The following is a 16,169-nucleotide window of genomic DNA, read 5'->3' on the forward strand; positions in this document are numbered from 1 at the left end:
GGAGCTAGTCAAAAACAAAATGATTTTAAAACAGTCACCCCCAAGCAAATTCAGTTATAAAAAGTCTGAATGGGGGCAGGTAATGACTGAAGTTCTATACTCTTGTCTCTGGGCCTGATGAATTTTGCATGCTTCACATAGCTCAGACTGCTCTGAGCTATTTTTCTTTTCTCAGTATGATTGATTAAATCCTTGGCCATTGGTGGTTCAACTCAACCTTCATCCTCTCCCCTCCCTGAATGATAAGGGTATGCACCTGGAAGCCCCAACTCTCTAATCATACCTTAGAATCCTGAAGCTCTCTAAGGGCCTCCAGACACCAGTCATTTCATTAACATACAAAAGACACTTATTACTCCAGAGTAGATTCCAAGGACTTAAGAGGTTTTTTTGTTTTTGTTTTTTTCCACCAGGAAACCGGGAGGGAGACCAAATCTATCTTTGTCAATGTCACAGCCTCCCAGGCCAGTCTCCGTGTCTCATATCTGTAATCTTAGCACTTTGGGAAGCTGAAGTGGGAGAAACATTTGAGGCTAGGAGTTCGAGACCAGCCTGGGCAACATAGCGAGACCTTGCGTCTACTAAAAATTGTTTTAAAAGTTAACTGAGCATAGTTGTATTAGTCACTTCTCATGCTGCTAATGAAGACATACCCAAGACTGGGCAATTTATAAAGGAAAGACATTTAATTGACTCACAGTTCAGCATGGCTGAGAAGGCCACAGGAAACTTACAATCGTGGCACAAGGAGAAGCAAACACGTCCTTCACATGGTGGCAGCAAGGAGAGGTGCTGAGTAAAAGGGGAAAAACCCCTTATAAAACCATCAGATCTCATGAGAACTCACTCACTGTCAATAGAACAGTATGGAGGCAACCGCCCCCATGATTCAATTACCTCCCACCAGGTATCACCTCCCGTCCATGATACATGGGGATTATGGGAACTACAAGATAAGATTTCGGTGAGGAGATAGCCAAACCGTATCAATAGTGATGCACACCTCTAGTCCCAGCTACTCAGGAGGCTGAGGTGGGAGGATCACTTGAGCTGGGGAGATCAAGGCTGCACAGCAAGACTGTCTCAAAAAAAAAAAAAAAAAAAAAAAAACAAAACATTACAGCCTTCCAGGGCAAAGGGACATTTGGCAATGTCTGGAGACCATTTTAGTTGTTACAACTGTAGGAGGTGCTACTGGCATCTGGTGGGTGGGGGCCAATGATGCTACTAAGCATTCTACAGTGCACATTATAGCCTTCCACAGCAAATATTTATCAGGCCTAAAATGTGAACAATGCAGAGGTTTGTTTAGAGTTATTTGGTGTAATCACATCTAGTAGGTTCAAAGTGAAGCTTCTCCTTAACTTTAAAGAACAACATTCTTTTTGTTTGTATCGCACTCATGCTCCATGAGGTTTGGCTAGTGGTAGTATGGATGCTTTAATCTATTTTCTTGTTTACTCTGATTAGATATTATAGTAGCTTGAAATGGTAATTTAGACTTTTGTTTCTTTGGTTTTTTAAACAGCTTTATTGAGATATAATTCAAATATTATACAATTCACTCGTTTAAAGTGTATAGTTCAATGGCTTTTGTCCATGTTTTGATTGTTACCACAATCAACATTAGAACATTTTATCAACCTAAAAGAAACCCCATGCTCTTTAACTATCACTCTATCCCCAGTTCCCTTCCCACCACCAGACTAGGCAACCACTAATCTACTTTCTTTCTCTCTAAATTTGCCTATTACTGACATTTCATATAAATGGAGTCTGTTGTGCCTGGCTTGTTTTACTTAGAATAATGCTTTCAAGGTTCATGTTGTAGCATGTATCAGTACTTCCTTTCTTTTTATAACATTGTATGGATATACCGTATTTGGTTTTTTTTGTTTGTTTGTTTTTTGAGATGAAGTCTCCCTCTGTTGCCCAGGCTGGAGTGCAGGGGCGCAATCTTGGCTCACTGCAACCTCCGCCTCCTGGGTTCAAGTGATTCTCCTGCCTCAGCCTCCTGAATACAGGTGCCCGCCACCACACCCAGCTAATTTCTGTATTTTTAGTAGAGACGGGGTTTCATCATGTTGGCCAGGCTGGTCTTGAACTCCTGACCTCAAGTGATCCACCTGCCTTGGCCTCCCAAAGTGCTGGGATTACAGGTGTGAGCCACCGTGCCTGGCTAGATATACCCTATTTGTTTATCCACTCATCAGTTGATGGCAATCTGGGTTGTTTCCACCTTTTGGCTGTTATGGATAATGCTGCTATGAACATTTGTGTATAAGTTTTTGTGTGGACATATGTTTTCATTTATCTTGAATATATAGACCTAGGTAGAATTGTTGGGTCAAATGGCAACTCTAGGCCAGATGTGGTGGCTGGCGCCTGTAATCCCAGCACTTTGGGAGGCCAAGGCGGGCAGATCACGAGGTCAGGAGATTGAGACCATCCTGACTAACACGGTGAAACCCCGTCTCTACTAAAAATACAAAAAATTAGCCAGGCGTGGTGGTGGGTGCCTGTAGTCCCGCTACTCAGGAGGCTGAGGCAGGAGAATGGCATGAACCCGGGATGCAGTGCTTGCAGTGAGCCAAGATCGCACCACTGCACTCCAGCCTGGGCAACAGAGTGAGACTCCATCTCAAAAAAAAAAAAAAAATGGCAACTCTATGTTTAACCACTTGAGGAACTGCCAGGCTGTTTTCTAAAGAGACTATACTATTTTATATTCCTGCCTGCAGTGTATAAGGGTTCCAATTTCTTTGCATCCTTGTCAGCACTTGTTATTATCTGTCATTTTACTCTAGCCATCCTAGTGCGTGTGAAGCAGTATCTCATTGTGCTTTTGATCTTCATTTCCTTAATGGCTAGTAATGTTAAGCATCTTTTCATGTGCTTATTGGCCATAACTTAGATGTATCTAAGAATCAGAGTCTTGAAAGTGACCTATATGGAACTGGCTTTTAGAAGTCCAGATTCACTGGGTGGCTTATGCCTGTAATCCCAGCACTTTGGGAGGCTGAGGCAGGAGGATAGTTTGAGGCAGAGTTTAAGACCTGCCTGGGCAACATGTGAGACACCCATCTCTACAAAAAATTAAAAAAATTAACCAGGTGTGGTGGTGTGCACTACTTGGGATGCTGGGGTGGGAGGATTGCTTGAGCTCAGGAGGTCGAGGATGTAGTGAGCCATGATTGTACCACTGCACTCCAGCCTGGGTGACAGAGTGAGACCCTGTCTCAAAAGAAGAAGAAGAAGAAGAGGTCCAGACTCAATGCAAGGACTGAGAACAGGCCAAGCCATCTGGAAATTAGATAAGATTGAAGGGAGTATATCACTGTCCAAGATACAGCCAAGAACGAGGAAATTTTAAGTTAATGACTGAATTAGTGGAACAGGAGTCAGAATTTAGATGTCAGGGATAAAAAATCAGTTATACCACAATAAAAAAATCAAGGAGTTTCCTAAATTAAACTCAGATGCTAAAGTTATACCACAACCATCAGTACAAGACCAAGGTAGTCCAAGTGCGGTAGCTCATGCCTGTAATCCCAGCATCTTGGGAGGCTGAGGCAGGCGGATCACAAGGTCAGGAGTTCGAGACCAGCCTGGCCAATATGGTGAAACCTTGTCTCTACTAAAAATACAAAAATTAGCAGGGCATGGTGGCAGGCACCTGTAGTCCCAGCTACTCGGGAGGCTGAAGCAGGAGAATCGCTTGAACCCAGGAGGTGGAGGTTGCAGTGAGCTGAGATCCTGCCATTGCACTCCAGCCTGGGCGACAGAGCAAGACTCCATCTCAAAAAAAAAAAAAAAAAAAAAAAAAAAGACCAAGATAAGCCAAATACTTGAGTCCACAGCAGTAGTTAAAGCTGGTGTTATATAGGGGGTTATCCTTGGCCCACTCCCTGAAATGGAGGGCAAGAAGATGTGAGGCAGGATAAGTATCCACATCCGGTGCCAGTTCCCTGACTTAAGCAAGAAGAGGACACCCAAGAAAGGTGCATATTGAGGATGCAAAATAAATTTTAACTGTGTTCAGATGTGTCTAAACTCAAATTTACTTTTATAGAAACTATAATGAGAAACATCACCAACAAAAAGTCAAGCTTCAAAAAGTCAAGTATCGTTTAACTAATGAAGTAGAACTACGAGATAAGAGAATTAACCAATTTGAAGATGAAATTGGAATCCTGCAACATAAAATAGAAAAGGTGAGGAAAAAATAAAAGGTGAAGAGCTCACTGGTGATTCCCATGGTCAGCCATTTGGAGAAAGCCTTTTCATTTTAAAAATTATTTGAGACCCCTTCATAGTCCTCGTTTTCATTTCTTTTCTTTGCACCATCTTTCAATAAGTAATTCTTTAAGCCCTGACCAAAAGTACATAAGACTCCTAGTGCTGCTACACGGAATTGAATACTGAAAATACTCTGTACTGCCAACTTATGATCAATGTCTTTCTTCAGATGGAAATGCCTTTTCTTGAACACTCCTGAGCACAGACTTCCAAACCACTCTCAGTAACTCATTTCTGCTTTGTGGAGCCCTCATTTTGCCTCAGACTTCAGTGTCAGTTTTAAATGGCAGTGAAAATAGGTGATCCTTACTCCTTTATCAGTCCTTGCCTTCAAGCTTTTTTATGTTTGTCTTATTGCCCTTGTGACTTAGTGGTGGATGAATAAACAGGAAATGGGACAGATGAATAGAATCAAATGCAGAATGGTTGTGGGATTATTAAACTATATAAATTCAGGATGGAGAGTAACTGACTAGGCCAGTAAGGTTTTCCCTTCTTGGGGTCACTAGCCCTTTCAGAATATTGAGAACTCTATCATCATTCCTAAAATATTCATTTCCACACTCAACAAATTTTTATACCACCACTGTGTGCCAAGGATACCATAACCATTAATGTAATTTCAGTGATTCCATCAACTATCCTGGGACCCTAGGTCAAGAATTCCCAGACTATACACAATAAAGCATTTTTGGAATATAATAGGTGGGTCACAAATATTGCATTCTTAGTTTTAAAAAATTGGCTGGGTGCAGTGGTTCATGCCTGTAATTCCAGCACTTTGGGAGGCCAAGGCAGGAGGATTGCTTGAGGCCAGGAGTTCAAGGTTACAGTGGGCTATAATTGTGCTTATAAATAGCCACTGCACTCCAGCCTGGGCAACATAGAGAAGCTCTGTCTCTAACTAAAATAAAAAATCCTCTTGATACTCTAAACTATAGTGAGAGAAGAAAAATAAGTTGGATTTTTGCAGTCCTCCTTTTTTTGCCATTAATTTTTCAAACTTTTAGAGACTGAGATCCAGCTTAGAACTAGGAAAAGACTATGGAAAGTGTATAAGAAAAAGTAGTAATCCATTTTAATAGCACCCATGGGCAAAAAAAAAAAAAAAAAGAAAAGAAAAGAAGAGGCAGGGCACGGTGGCTTGCGCCTGTAATCCCAGCACTTTGGGAGGCCGAGGTGGGCAGATCACCTGAGGTCAGGAGTTCGAGACTAGCCTGGCCAACATGGTGAAATCCCATCTCTACTGAAAATACAAAAAAATTAGCCGAGCATGGTGGCACATGCCTGTAATTCCAGCTACTCAGGAGACTGAGGCAAGAGAATCTCTTGAACCCAAGAGGCGGAGGTTGCAGTGAGCTGAGATCATGCCATTGCACTCTAGCCTGGGGGACAAGAGCAAAACTCCATCTAAATAAATAAATAAATAAATAAAGAGTAAGAGAAAGAAAGGAAAAAAAAAAGTAGCAACCCTAGTTCATGGGTCCATCAGACATATCATCAGCCTATTTCTATATTATCAGTTCTTTTTCATACTTTTGCATTTTGCTTCTAGGCCAGAAAAACAGTCTTCTGCTTTCAACAGGCATGCTAGCTTTCTTCCTGACTACACTGGGTTGAATAGCGTCCCTCAAATTCATGTCCTAGAACCTTAGAATGTGACCTTATATAGAAATAGGGTCTTTGCAGATACAATTAGTTAAGTGAGATTATCCTGGATTAGGGTGAATCATAAATCTAAGATGATTGCTGTCCTTATAGGAAGAGGGGAAAACACACAGACAGACACAGACAGGGGAAGAATGCCTCATGATGATGAATTCAGAGACTGGAATGATACAGCTACAAGCCAAGAAATAGCAAGGGTTGCTGGCAACCACCAGAAGCTAGGAGAAAGGCATGCAACACAATCTCTCCTGGAGCCCCCATGAGTAATTAACCCTGACAACAATGTGATTTCAGATTTCTGTCACTCAAAACTATGAGAAAATGTTATGGCAGCCCTAGGAAACTAATGCACCTACCCAAAGAACCACAGGTCTTCATAAAATGTGCTGGAGCTCCCAAATAAGCAGAGGCTGAGAGAATAATTGGATCTTTTGCTCACTGCCATTGAAGGGTACTGTGGGCTTTGGCCTTAAATAGACTTGGATTCAAATTCTAGCCCTGCCTGTAAGCTTGGACAAGTCTCTGTGTATCACTTTCCTCATCTGTAAAATGAGGGAAATAATCCCTACCTTACATACACAAGGCTTTTGTGAGTATTAAAACATACAATTTCTAAAGTGGTACTTGGTACATACACATTTTTCATAGATGTTATTTTCCTTTTTTTGGTATATAATCTCTTAGAAGGGCCAGGTGTGGTGGCTCATCCCTGTAATCCCAGCTACTTGGGAGGCTGAGGCAGGAGAATTGCTTGAACCAGGGAGATAGAAGTTGCAGTGAGCCAAGATTGCACCATTGCACTCCAGCTTAGGTGAAAAGAGTGAAACTTCGTCTCAAAAAAAAAAAAAAAAAATCTTAGAAGAATGTTAATTGGTGGATTCATTGTTCACATGAGAAATTGTTGACAGAATTAGAACGACTTAGCCTAGAGAAGACTGATGTTAGAGCTTTTAATGCCACAGTGGTACAAACCTAGGAATTCTTATTTTATGTATATTTTAGGGCCCAAGGACCAGAGCACTGAGCATAAAAATGCCAGATTTCTTTCTAAGTCTCCAAAAAGTAATGCCACTTCTTTTGGCTTCATTCCTTCAGCTTTTTCTTTATATAATGAGTCAATTGAGACTTCTGTTGTGACCACTCAAACCAGACTTTCCCATTTTATCCTATTATCACAGCATGTGTCTGGAATTTTTGTTTGTTTTAAAAAATACAGTATTTCCCAAGGACAAGGTGTCAGTCACCTTCCTCATGCAGTACACTTTTTAATCCAGTTAGAGCTGTCTAGGGTTTATCTGTGGGATGATTGCTTCTATTCTCAATCCTTACCAATACATTATTAATTAAATGTCTTTAAATTATAGCAGGTCAGACTACCATTAGATATTGCCGGGTCCCTGAGATGGACTTTAAAATCTGGAATAGCTTTTTCGGAACATAATCTAATCAACATCCTACAGGTCTTTAATAATAGATGGATGGCCAGGCATGGTGGCTCATGCCTGTAATTCTAGCACTTTGGGAGGCCGAGGTGGGTGCATCATCTGAGGTCAGGAGTTTGAGACCAGCCTGACCAACATGGCAAAACCCCATTTCTACTAAAAGTACAAAAATTAGCTGGGTGCGGTGGTGGGCACCTATAATGTCAGCTACTCAGGAGGCTGAGGCAGGAGAATTGCTTGAACCCAGCGGGCAGAGGTTGCAGTGAGCCGAGATTGCACCACTGCACTCCAGCCTGGGTGAAAGACAAAACTTTATCTAAAAAAAAAATTAATAATAATAATAGATGGCCAGTCTTTTCTGAATGACCTACATTAGTATCTTATTTAAAAGAAACATGTAGGTTGGGCACAGTGTCTCATGCCTGTAATCCCAGTCCTTTGGGAGGCTGAAGCAGGAGGATAGTTCGAGGCCAGGAGTTTGAGACCAGCCTGAGCAACAGAGCAAGACCCTGTTTCTACTATTTTATTTTATTTTTTATCTTAAAAAAATTTTTTTGAGACAGAGTCTCATTCTGTCACCCAGGCTAGAGTGCAGTGGTGTGATCCTAGCTCATTGCAGCCTTGAACTCCACACATGGCTTTTGTGTGTGTGTGTGTGTGTGTGTGTGTGTGTGTGTGTGTGTGTGTGGAGACGGGGTCTCACCATGTTGACCAGGCTGGTCTCAAACTCCTGGGCTCAAGCAATCCTCCCACTTTGGCCTCCCAGAGTGCTGAGATTACAGGTGTGAGCCATGGCACCAGGCATCTGACTCTACAAAAAATTTAAAAATTAGCCAGCTGTGGTGGTTCATGCCTGTAGTCCTAGCTACTCAGGAGGCTGAGGCACATGATCACTTGAGCCCAGGAGTGTGAGGTTACAGTGAGCCATGATTGTACCACTGCACCCCAGTCTGGATGACAGAGCTAGATCCTGTCTAAAAAAACAAAAAAACAAAAAAAAACAAAAAAAACAGCTGGACGCAGTGCCTCACGCTTGTAATCCCAAACCTTTGGGAGGCCTAGGCGGGCAGATCACTTGTGATCAGGAGTTTGAGATCAGCCTGGCCAACATGGCGAAACCCTGTCTCTACTAAAAATATGAAAATTAGCTGGGTATGGTAGTGGATGCCTGTAATCCCAGCTACTCGGGAGGCTGAGGCTAAACCTGAGAGGCAGAGGTTGTAGTGAGCCGAGATATTGCCACTGCACTCCAGCCTGGGCAACAAAGCAAGACTCCATGTCAAAAACAAAACAAAACAAACAAACAAAAAACAACATGATCTCACTACTTTCAGGGTCATGAAAAAGAAGAAAAAAAAATACATGACATGGGCTGGGCATGGTGGCTCACGCCTGTAATCCCAGCAATTTGGGAGGCCAAGGTGGGCGGATCACAAGGTCAGGAGATCGAGACCATCCTGGCTAACACGGTGAAACCCCATCTCTACTAAAAATACAAAAAACTTAGCCGGGCGTAGTGGTGGGCACCTGTAGTCCCAGCTACTTGGGAGGCTGAGGCAGGAGAATGGCATGAACCTGGGAGGTGGAGCTTGCAGTGAGCAGAGATCACGCCACTGTATTCCAGCCTGGGTGACAGGGCAAGTTCTGTCTTAAACAAACAAACAAACAAAAAAATATATATATATATATATGACATGACATAAAATAACCTCTTGAAAATTGAAAAACTATTTAGCTACAGTGAATGACAATGTCAGCAAACAGATAGAAACAGACTAGGGGACAGGAAAAAAAAAGTAAATAAGGGAAAATTTCTGCTAGATTTAGAAACAGGCTTATGCTCTTAAATTTATCATACTTTCTCCTGCTGTGGTAATTAGGAGACTTTCTAATCCCTAGGAGAAGGCAATACAGGACCAGATCACTGCCCAAAATGATACCCTGCTTCTAGAAAAAAGGAAACTTCAGGAGCAAGTCATAGAGCAAGAACAGTTGATCCACAGCAACAAATGGACGATATCTTCCATCCAGAGCAGGTAGGTGCCATCCTGCCTGGGAGCCAATAAACTCCACAAGAGGATGTTTCTCCCTCAACAAAGAGATGGTTCTAGAGACTGTCCTTTGAGTTTGTAGCCTACCCTATGACTCTCGCTCCGCTGTCTGCTGTTTTTGGCAGATCATACAAGTGGCAGAAATTGTTAAATTAAAGAGAAAAATATCATGGAGGAGGCTGGTTGGCTATTTAGATAGGCTGTTTCATAATGTCATTGCCTCACTGAGGACTTGGCTGTGTGCATTCTGGCCTGTCATTTTGTGTGTGTTGATCCACATTTTTATTATTGGATACCTATGGAATCAAGGTAGAACAAGAGAGAATTAGGCTCACAGAAGTAACTTAAATTCATGAAATCCACAGGATATCAGTGTATTAATTTTTAATGAGAAATATTATAAGCAGAAAATAAGTCATATATCAGCCAGCCTGAGCATTCTCTTCTTCATAGGAGACTTTCATTATAATCAAAGAGAGTGGGTTGATGTTAACAAATAATGTCACCAATAATAACTGGAATGATTAAGATTTGTCTGAGCAATTACTATATGCTAGGCACTGTTCTAAGCTCTTTCCTTCATTTAATCCTGACACCAATCCCAGGAGAGAGGCACTATTAGCCTTATTTTACAGATAGGAAGCCAAGGTCTAGAGAGGTGAGGGAACTCACTCAGCCCAGTCAGTGACAGAGCAGCATGTGGACCTCAGCAGCTTGGCCCTAGACCATAGCACCATAGTCTGGGGAGAGGACTGCCAAGCAGACTGTAATGTTCTTGTCCACTGCTTTGGGCACACGTCTCTGGGCAGGCTTGGAGAATCTCTGATCTTTTACTGTCTGTGTCTCCCCTTTTAGATGTCCCATATAAATCATTGCTCTTCTCAAACTGTCATAGCTTCTGACAGTCAGGATCCAACACAATTAACTCATTACCTTTGCATTAACATTAATCATATTTCTATCTTGCCCTACTGATGACACAATCACCTGGACTGGATTGAATGTTTTCCTTACAGTAAGTTTCTTCCAAGGAGTATTTCCTCATTTTACAAATAAGGAAACTGAGGCTCAGATTTGTCACAACAGTGTATATTTCATCAGGTTGCTGTGCATATTAAATGAGCTAATACATGAAAAGTTTTAAGTGCTTACTGTGTGGGTAGGTTACATTGCATAAGTACATGGCAAGTACTTGAAACATGGTTGCTGCTGCTGCTACCACTATTTCTACTTCACAAGAAATCAGAATCCGATCAGTATGATAACAGAACCAGATGCAAGCTATGTAGCTACAATATTTGAAGGGATACAGAGTCTCTCTTGTTTCATTCCCACCCTAAATGGGATCATATCCTTCCTTAAATTTTTCAAGGGCTAGAATTAATACTCTTGTACATGTATTTAATAACCATGTACAGCCCAGAAGTTTATTAACTTTTACTTGGTGTATTAGGGTTCTCTTAGAGGAAAAGAACAGAATAGGAGACATAAATATGTATATGTAAAGGAGAGTATATACATATATATAAAGAGGAGTTTATTAAGTATTAACTTACACAATCACAAAGTCCACAATAGGCTGTCCACAAGCTGAGGAGCAAGGAGAGCCAGTCCGAGTCCCAAAACTGAAGAACTCAGAATCCTGTGTTTGAGGGCAGGAAGCATCCAGCATGGGAGAAAGATGTAAACTGGGAGGAGAGGCCTGTCTCTCTTTTTCACGTTTTTCTGCCTGCTTTATATTCACTGGAAGCTGATTAGATTGTGCCCACCAGATTAAGAGGGGATCTGCCTTCCCCAGCCCACGACTCAAATGTTAATCTCCTTTGGCAACACCCTCACGGACACACCCAGGATAATACTTTGTATCCCTCCATGCAATCAAGTTGACACTCAGTATTAAACAACACACTTGTTCTTGGAATATGGTGGGAATTATTCTGTCAAACTTGCTTCTAAAATCTGGACAGTAGTCTAAGATCCGGGGCCAGTGGGAAGTGGGATGTAGTTTTGGGTTTTTAGTAATGATACAGAAATCTCTAATCATGCCACTGATTTATGCCATTCTTAGGGTACTTTACATGGATAAAGAAAATAAGCAATTACAGGAAAATAGTCTTCGTCTCACACAGCAGATTGGCTTCTTAGAGCGAATTATAAGGAGCATCCATATTCGCAGAGGAGAGGTAAGATGTGTGCTTCCTATTGGGCCTGCCTTTAATGTGAAGTTCGGGTTGCTACGGCTGCTGTGCTGTCTCTTGCCTTCATCTTTATATAGCTGTAGCTGGGCTCTTGGCCTCATGGTAGGCTGTGGCAAAGAGGCTCTTGGCTGCACACCAGGATAGCAGACCCTGAGACTGCTCTTGATCAGCCAGATTTTAGTAAACTATCTCCTCCTGTGTGATCTCCAAGCAATTTGTATATGCCTCATAGCTTCTTCCTTAATACACTGTATTGTCATTGCCCTTTTTCTCCTCTATCTCATTAACTCAGCAGTGAGTTCCTGGAGGGCAAGGAGTGTATCTCATATATTACTGTATCTATGGACAGGTACTCCATAAATATTTGAGAATGAATAAATATTCAGTGTTTTAACATATGTGCCTTACTCTCAACAGCACTGTTTGCCATGTATGATTCTAGCCCCATCTAAAACATGAGCAAATCTGAGACTCAGTTAAGTAAAGTGAAGTTTGCTATGGCAAAGAGTCAAGCCTAAAGAGAGCATCTGAGTGAAAGAGAAGCAATTATGTTCCAAAAGTCCAAGCAGACAAGTGGCCAAATACAGAGAGATGCAGAAAATAGTACAGGTTCAGATCAGGTCCATAGTCTGTCTGGTAAGCAAGTCAGCAAGAGGGACTTCAATGAACAGAATCATATTCTGAAGCCAAGATGGAGGCTGATTACTTTCTTCTCTGGTTTATATCACCTACTAGATGTTTCTTCCCAAGATACTGGATAGTAGATCCTGCTTGTTGATCACTGTTGCTGTAAGACTTGTTTGGTCTCAGAGAGGTGATTATTTCCAAGCTATATGAGTGGGTTTTCGTTTTTTTTTCTGATTTTGTCAAAAGTAGAACTGCCAAGTAGTGTGGCTTGATATCCAGTAATTTATGTCTTTCCTTGAGCCACAACTGTTTTCAATTGTCTAGTCATTCATTCTTTTACTTATTCATTCAATGAATACTTATCAATTCCAGGAAATGGCCTAGGTCCTGGGAATAAAAAGATAGTCCCTGTTTTCAGAGGCCTTTGGTCTACTAGAGAAGGACAAACACATTTGTAAATAAGTACTATAGTATTACAAGTGCTGAGTTAGAAGACTTAATGGAGTATGTCTGGGACCAATAGCTTTGCGATCCATATTGTTAACCTTGAATGAAGATAAGAATGGTCACATGGATCAGAACTATAGCACATCAAACTCAATATTCCGTATGTGTCAAAGGTACTAACTTCTAACATCTTGATACCTATTGAAATAAATAACTCCAAAATTGTTTTTAAACTTAGAATCTTAAGGAGTTTCCTGTTCCAAAATGGTGGCATAGAGGCAAGCTGGCTTCTCTCCCTCCAACAAAGAAACAGAAAGAAATATACAGCACTGAGGTCTTCACCAGCAACAATGCAGAACTCCAGCATGAGGATGAGTCAGTTCCTGAGGCCACAGAGAAGTGGAAACACTCTGAGCAGATGGTAGGAGAATCCAACTTCCACATCCACAATACCCTTCCCCACATTCTGCCAGGCACCCACTGTTTGGAAAATCTCTCAACTTATGGTTTCTACACTGGAAAAAGTAAAACGGAGGTAGTCAAACAGATTCCCCACTTTCTTGGGTTTCCTAGCCAGAAACCTGTCCTTGTCTTAACCCACAGGTAGTAGTATCACAACTTCCTGCAGGCAGAAATATCCCTGAAGACAGGCATATCCCTGAAATATCCCTGAAACAGAAGAGGTGGGACTCTGCTCTGTAACTCAGCCAAAGAAGACATAAGAGTGGCTGTAGGAGCTATGTCCCCCAGGTCTCCTGGGCATGAGCCCCTAGACAGCCTTCCCTCACTGCCAGGATAACCCCTTTGGGACCTCCCCTATTTGGGACAGGCAGTGCTCTCACCATTTACTAGAGCCAAGGTGAACCTGGGCTTAAGGTGCCACCTAGAGCCAAAAAGGAGGCAGGGATCTAGCATTAAAGATTTGGCTGGGTGCGGTGGTTCATGCCTGTAATCCACTTTGGGAGGCTGCGGTGGATGATCACCTGAGGTCAGGAGTTCGAGACCAGCCTGGCCAACATGGTGAAACCCCATCTCTACTAAAAATACAAAAAAATTAGCTGGGCGTGGTGGTATGTGCTTGTAATCCCAGTTACTCAGGAGGCTGAGGAAGGAGAATCACTTGAACCTGGGAGGCAGAGGTTGCAGTGAGCCAAGACTGAGCCACTGCACTCCAGCCTGGGTGACAGAGTGAGACTCCATCTCAAAAAAATAAATAAATAAAATCAATGCAAAAAAATAAAAGTCAGCAAGTAGCTGAATGGATAAAGAAATAAAACCCAACTATATACTGCCCTCAAGAAACCCATCTCATCTATAAAGACACACAGAGACTGAAAAGGAGTGGGAAAAGATATTCCATGCAACTGGAAACCAAAGAGGAGCAGAACTAGCTATAGTCATATCAGATAAATTAGACTACAAGTCAAAGACTAAAAACGACAAGGGGGGTAACCTATATAATGATAAAAGGGCCAATTCAGCGAGAGAATATAACAATTATAAATATCTATGCATCCAACACCAGAGCTCCCAAATATATAAGGCTAACATTAATAGACCTAAAGTGAGATAGACTGCAACCTAATAATAGTGGGGACTTTAACACCCAACTCTCCATAATGGACAGATCATCCTAACAGAAAATCAACAAATAGTGGAGTTAAACTACACACTAGACCTAGTAGATCTAACTGACACTTATGGAACATACCCACTGTTGCAGAATACACATTCTTTTCATCAGCACATAGAACATTTTTCAGAATAGACCATATCTTAGACCACAAAACAAGTACAAATTTGAAAAACAGAAATTGTGTCAAGTATCTTCTTTGAACACAATGAAATGAAACTAGAAATCAATAACAGGAAAAACCTTGGAAACTACACAAACACATGGAAATAAAACAACATATTCCCAAATGACCAATGGGTTAATTAAGAAATTAAGATGGAAATTTTAAAATATCTTGAAACAAATGGAAATGGGAATACAAAATCTATGGGATATGATAAAAGCAATATTAAGAGGGGAGTTTTTTGTTGTTGTTTGTTTGTTTTTAGATGGAATTTCACTCTTGTTGCCCAGGTTGGAGTGCAATGGCGCAATCTTGGCTCACTGCAACCTCTGCTTCCCGGGTTCAAGCGATTCTCCTGCCTCAGCCTCCTGAGTAGCTGGGATTACAGGCATGTGCCACCATGCCTGGCTAATTTTGTATTTTTAGTAGAGACGGGGTTTCTCCATGTTGGTCAGGCTGGTCTGGAACTCCCGACCTCAGGTGATCCACCCGCCTCAGCCTCCGAAAGTGCTGGGATTATAGGCATAAGCCACCATGCCTGGCCTTAAGAGGGAAGTTTATAACAACAAACACCTATATCAAAAAAGTGGAAAGACTTCAAATAACCTGAAGATGCACCTCAAGAAACTAGAAAAGCAAGAACAAACCAAACCCAAAATTGATACAAGGAAAGAAATAATAAAGATTAGAGCAGGCCGGGCGCAGTGGCTCACACCTATAATCCCAGCACTTTGGGAGGCCAAGGCAGGCGGATCACAAGGTCAGGAGATTGAGACCATCCTGGTTAACACAGTGAAACCCTGTCTCTACTAAAAATACAAAAAATTAGCTGGGCGTGGTGGCATGCACCTGTAATCCCAGCTACTTGGGAGGCTGAGGCAGCAGAATCACTTGAACTTGGGAGGTGGAGGTTGCAGTGAGCCGAGATCACGCCACTGCTCTCCAGCCTGGGTGACAGAGCAAGACTCTGTCTCAAAACAAAACAAACAAACAAAAAAGATTAGAGCAGAAATAAATGAAATTGAGATTAAAAGAACAATATAGAAGATCAATGAAACAAAAAGTTGGGTTTTTTTTTAAGATAAACAAAATCAACAAATCTTTAGCTGGACAAACTAAGAAAAAAAGAGAGAAGACCCAAATAAATAAATCAGAAATGAAAAAGGAGACATAACAACTGAGATCTCAGAAATACAAAGAATCATTAGAGACTATTATGAATAACCATATGCCAACAAATAGGAAAACCTAGAAGAAATGGATAAATTTCTAGAAACATACAACCTACCAAGATTGAACCATGAAGAAATAGAAAACTTCAACAAACGAATAATGAATCATATGATCAAAGCCATAATAAAAAGTCTTCCATCAAAGAAAAGATCAGAACCTGCTGGATTCACTCCTGAAGTCCACCAAATATTTAAAGAAGGAATACCAATCTTACTCAAACTCTTCAAAAAAAATAAAGAGGAGGGAATACTAACAAACTCATTAAATGAGGCCAGCATTACCCAGATGCCAAAACCAGGCAAGACTATAAAAAGATCATTCACCATGATCAAGTGAGATTTGTCCCAGGAATACAAGGATGGCTCAACATATGCAAATCAATAAACATGATACACCACATTAATA

The 16,169-nt window shown here is 41.4% G+C and overlaps 1 protein-coding gene and 1 long non-coding RNA gene across 11 annotated transcripts in view; one reads left to right on the top strand and one right to left on the bottom strand.

Annotated features, from left to right (window-relative positions):
- CCDC30 (coiled-coil domain containing 30) overlaps window positions 1-16,169 on the top strand; it is a 201,084-nt gene that overhangs the window by 177,058 nt on the left and 7,857 nt on the right. For all 10 annotated transcript variants that reach the window (NM_001355226.2, NM_001395384.1, NM_001395517.1 and 7 more), the window contains 4 exons: window positions 4,073-4,214; window positions 9,309-9,445; window positions 11,529-11,643; window positions 12,971-13,153. In NM_001355226.2, the coding sequence (NP_001342155.1) occupies window positions 4,073-4,214; window positions 9,309-9,445; window positions 11,529-11,643; window positions 12,971-13,153 (577 nt within the window). The remainder of the gene's footprint in view (window positions 1-4,072; window positions 4,215-9,308; window positions 9,446-11,528; window positions 11,644-12,970; window positions 13,154-16,169) is intronic.
- Window positions 1-16,169, bottom strand: part of LOC124904162 (uncharacterized) — a 104,986-nt gene that overhangs the window by 62,344 nt on the left and 26,473 nt on the right. The gene's annotated exons all lie outside the window — the stretch shown is intronic.

The sequence above is a fragment of the Homo sapiens genome, chromosome 1 (assembly GCF_000001405.40).
Source record: "Homo sapiens chromosome 1, GRCh38.p14 Primary Assembly".
Taxonomy (NCBI): Eukaryota; Metazoa; Chordata; class Mammalia; order Primates; family Hominidae; genus Homo; species Homo sapiens.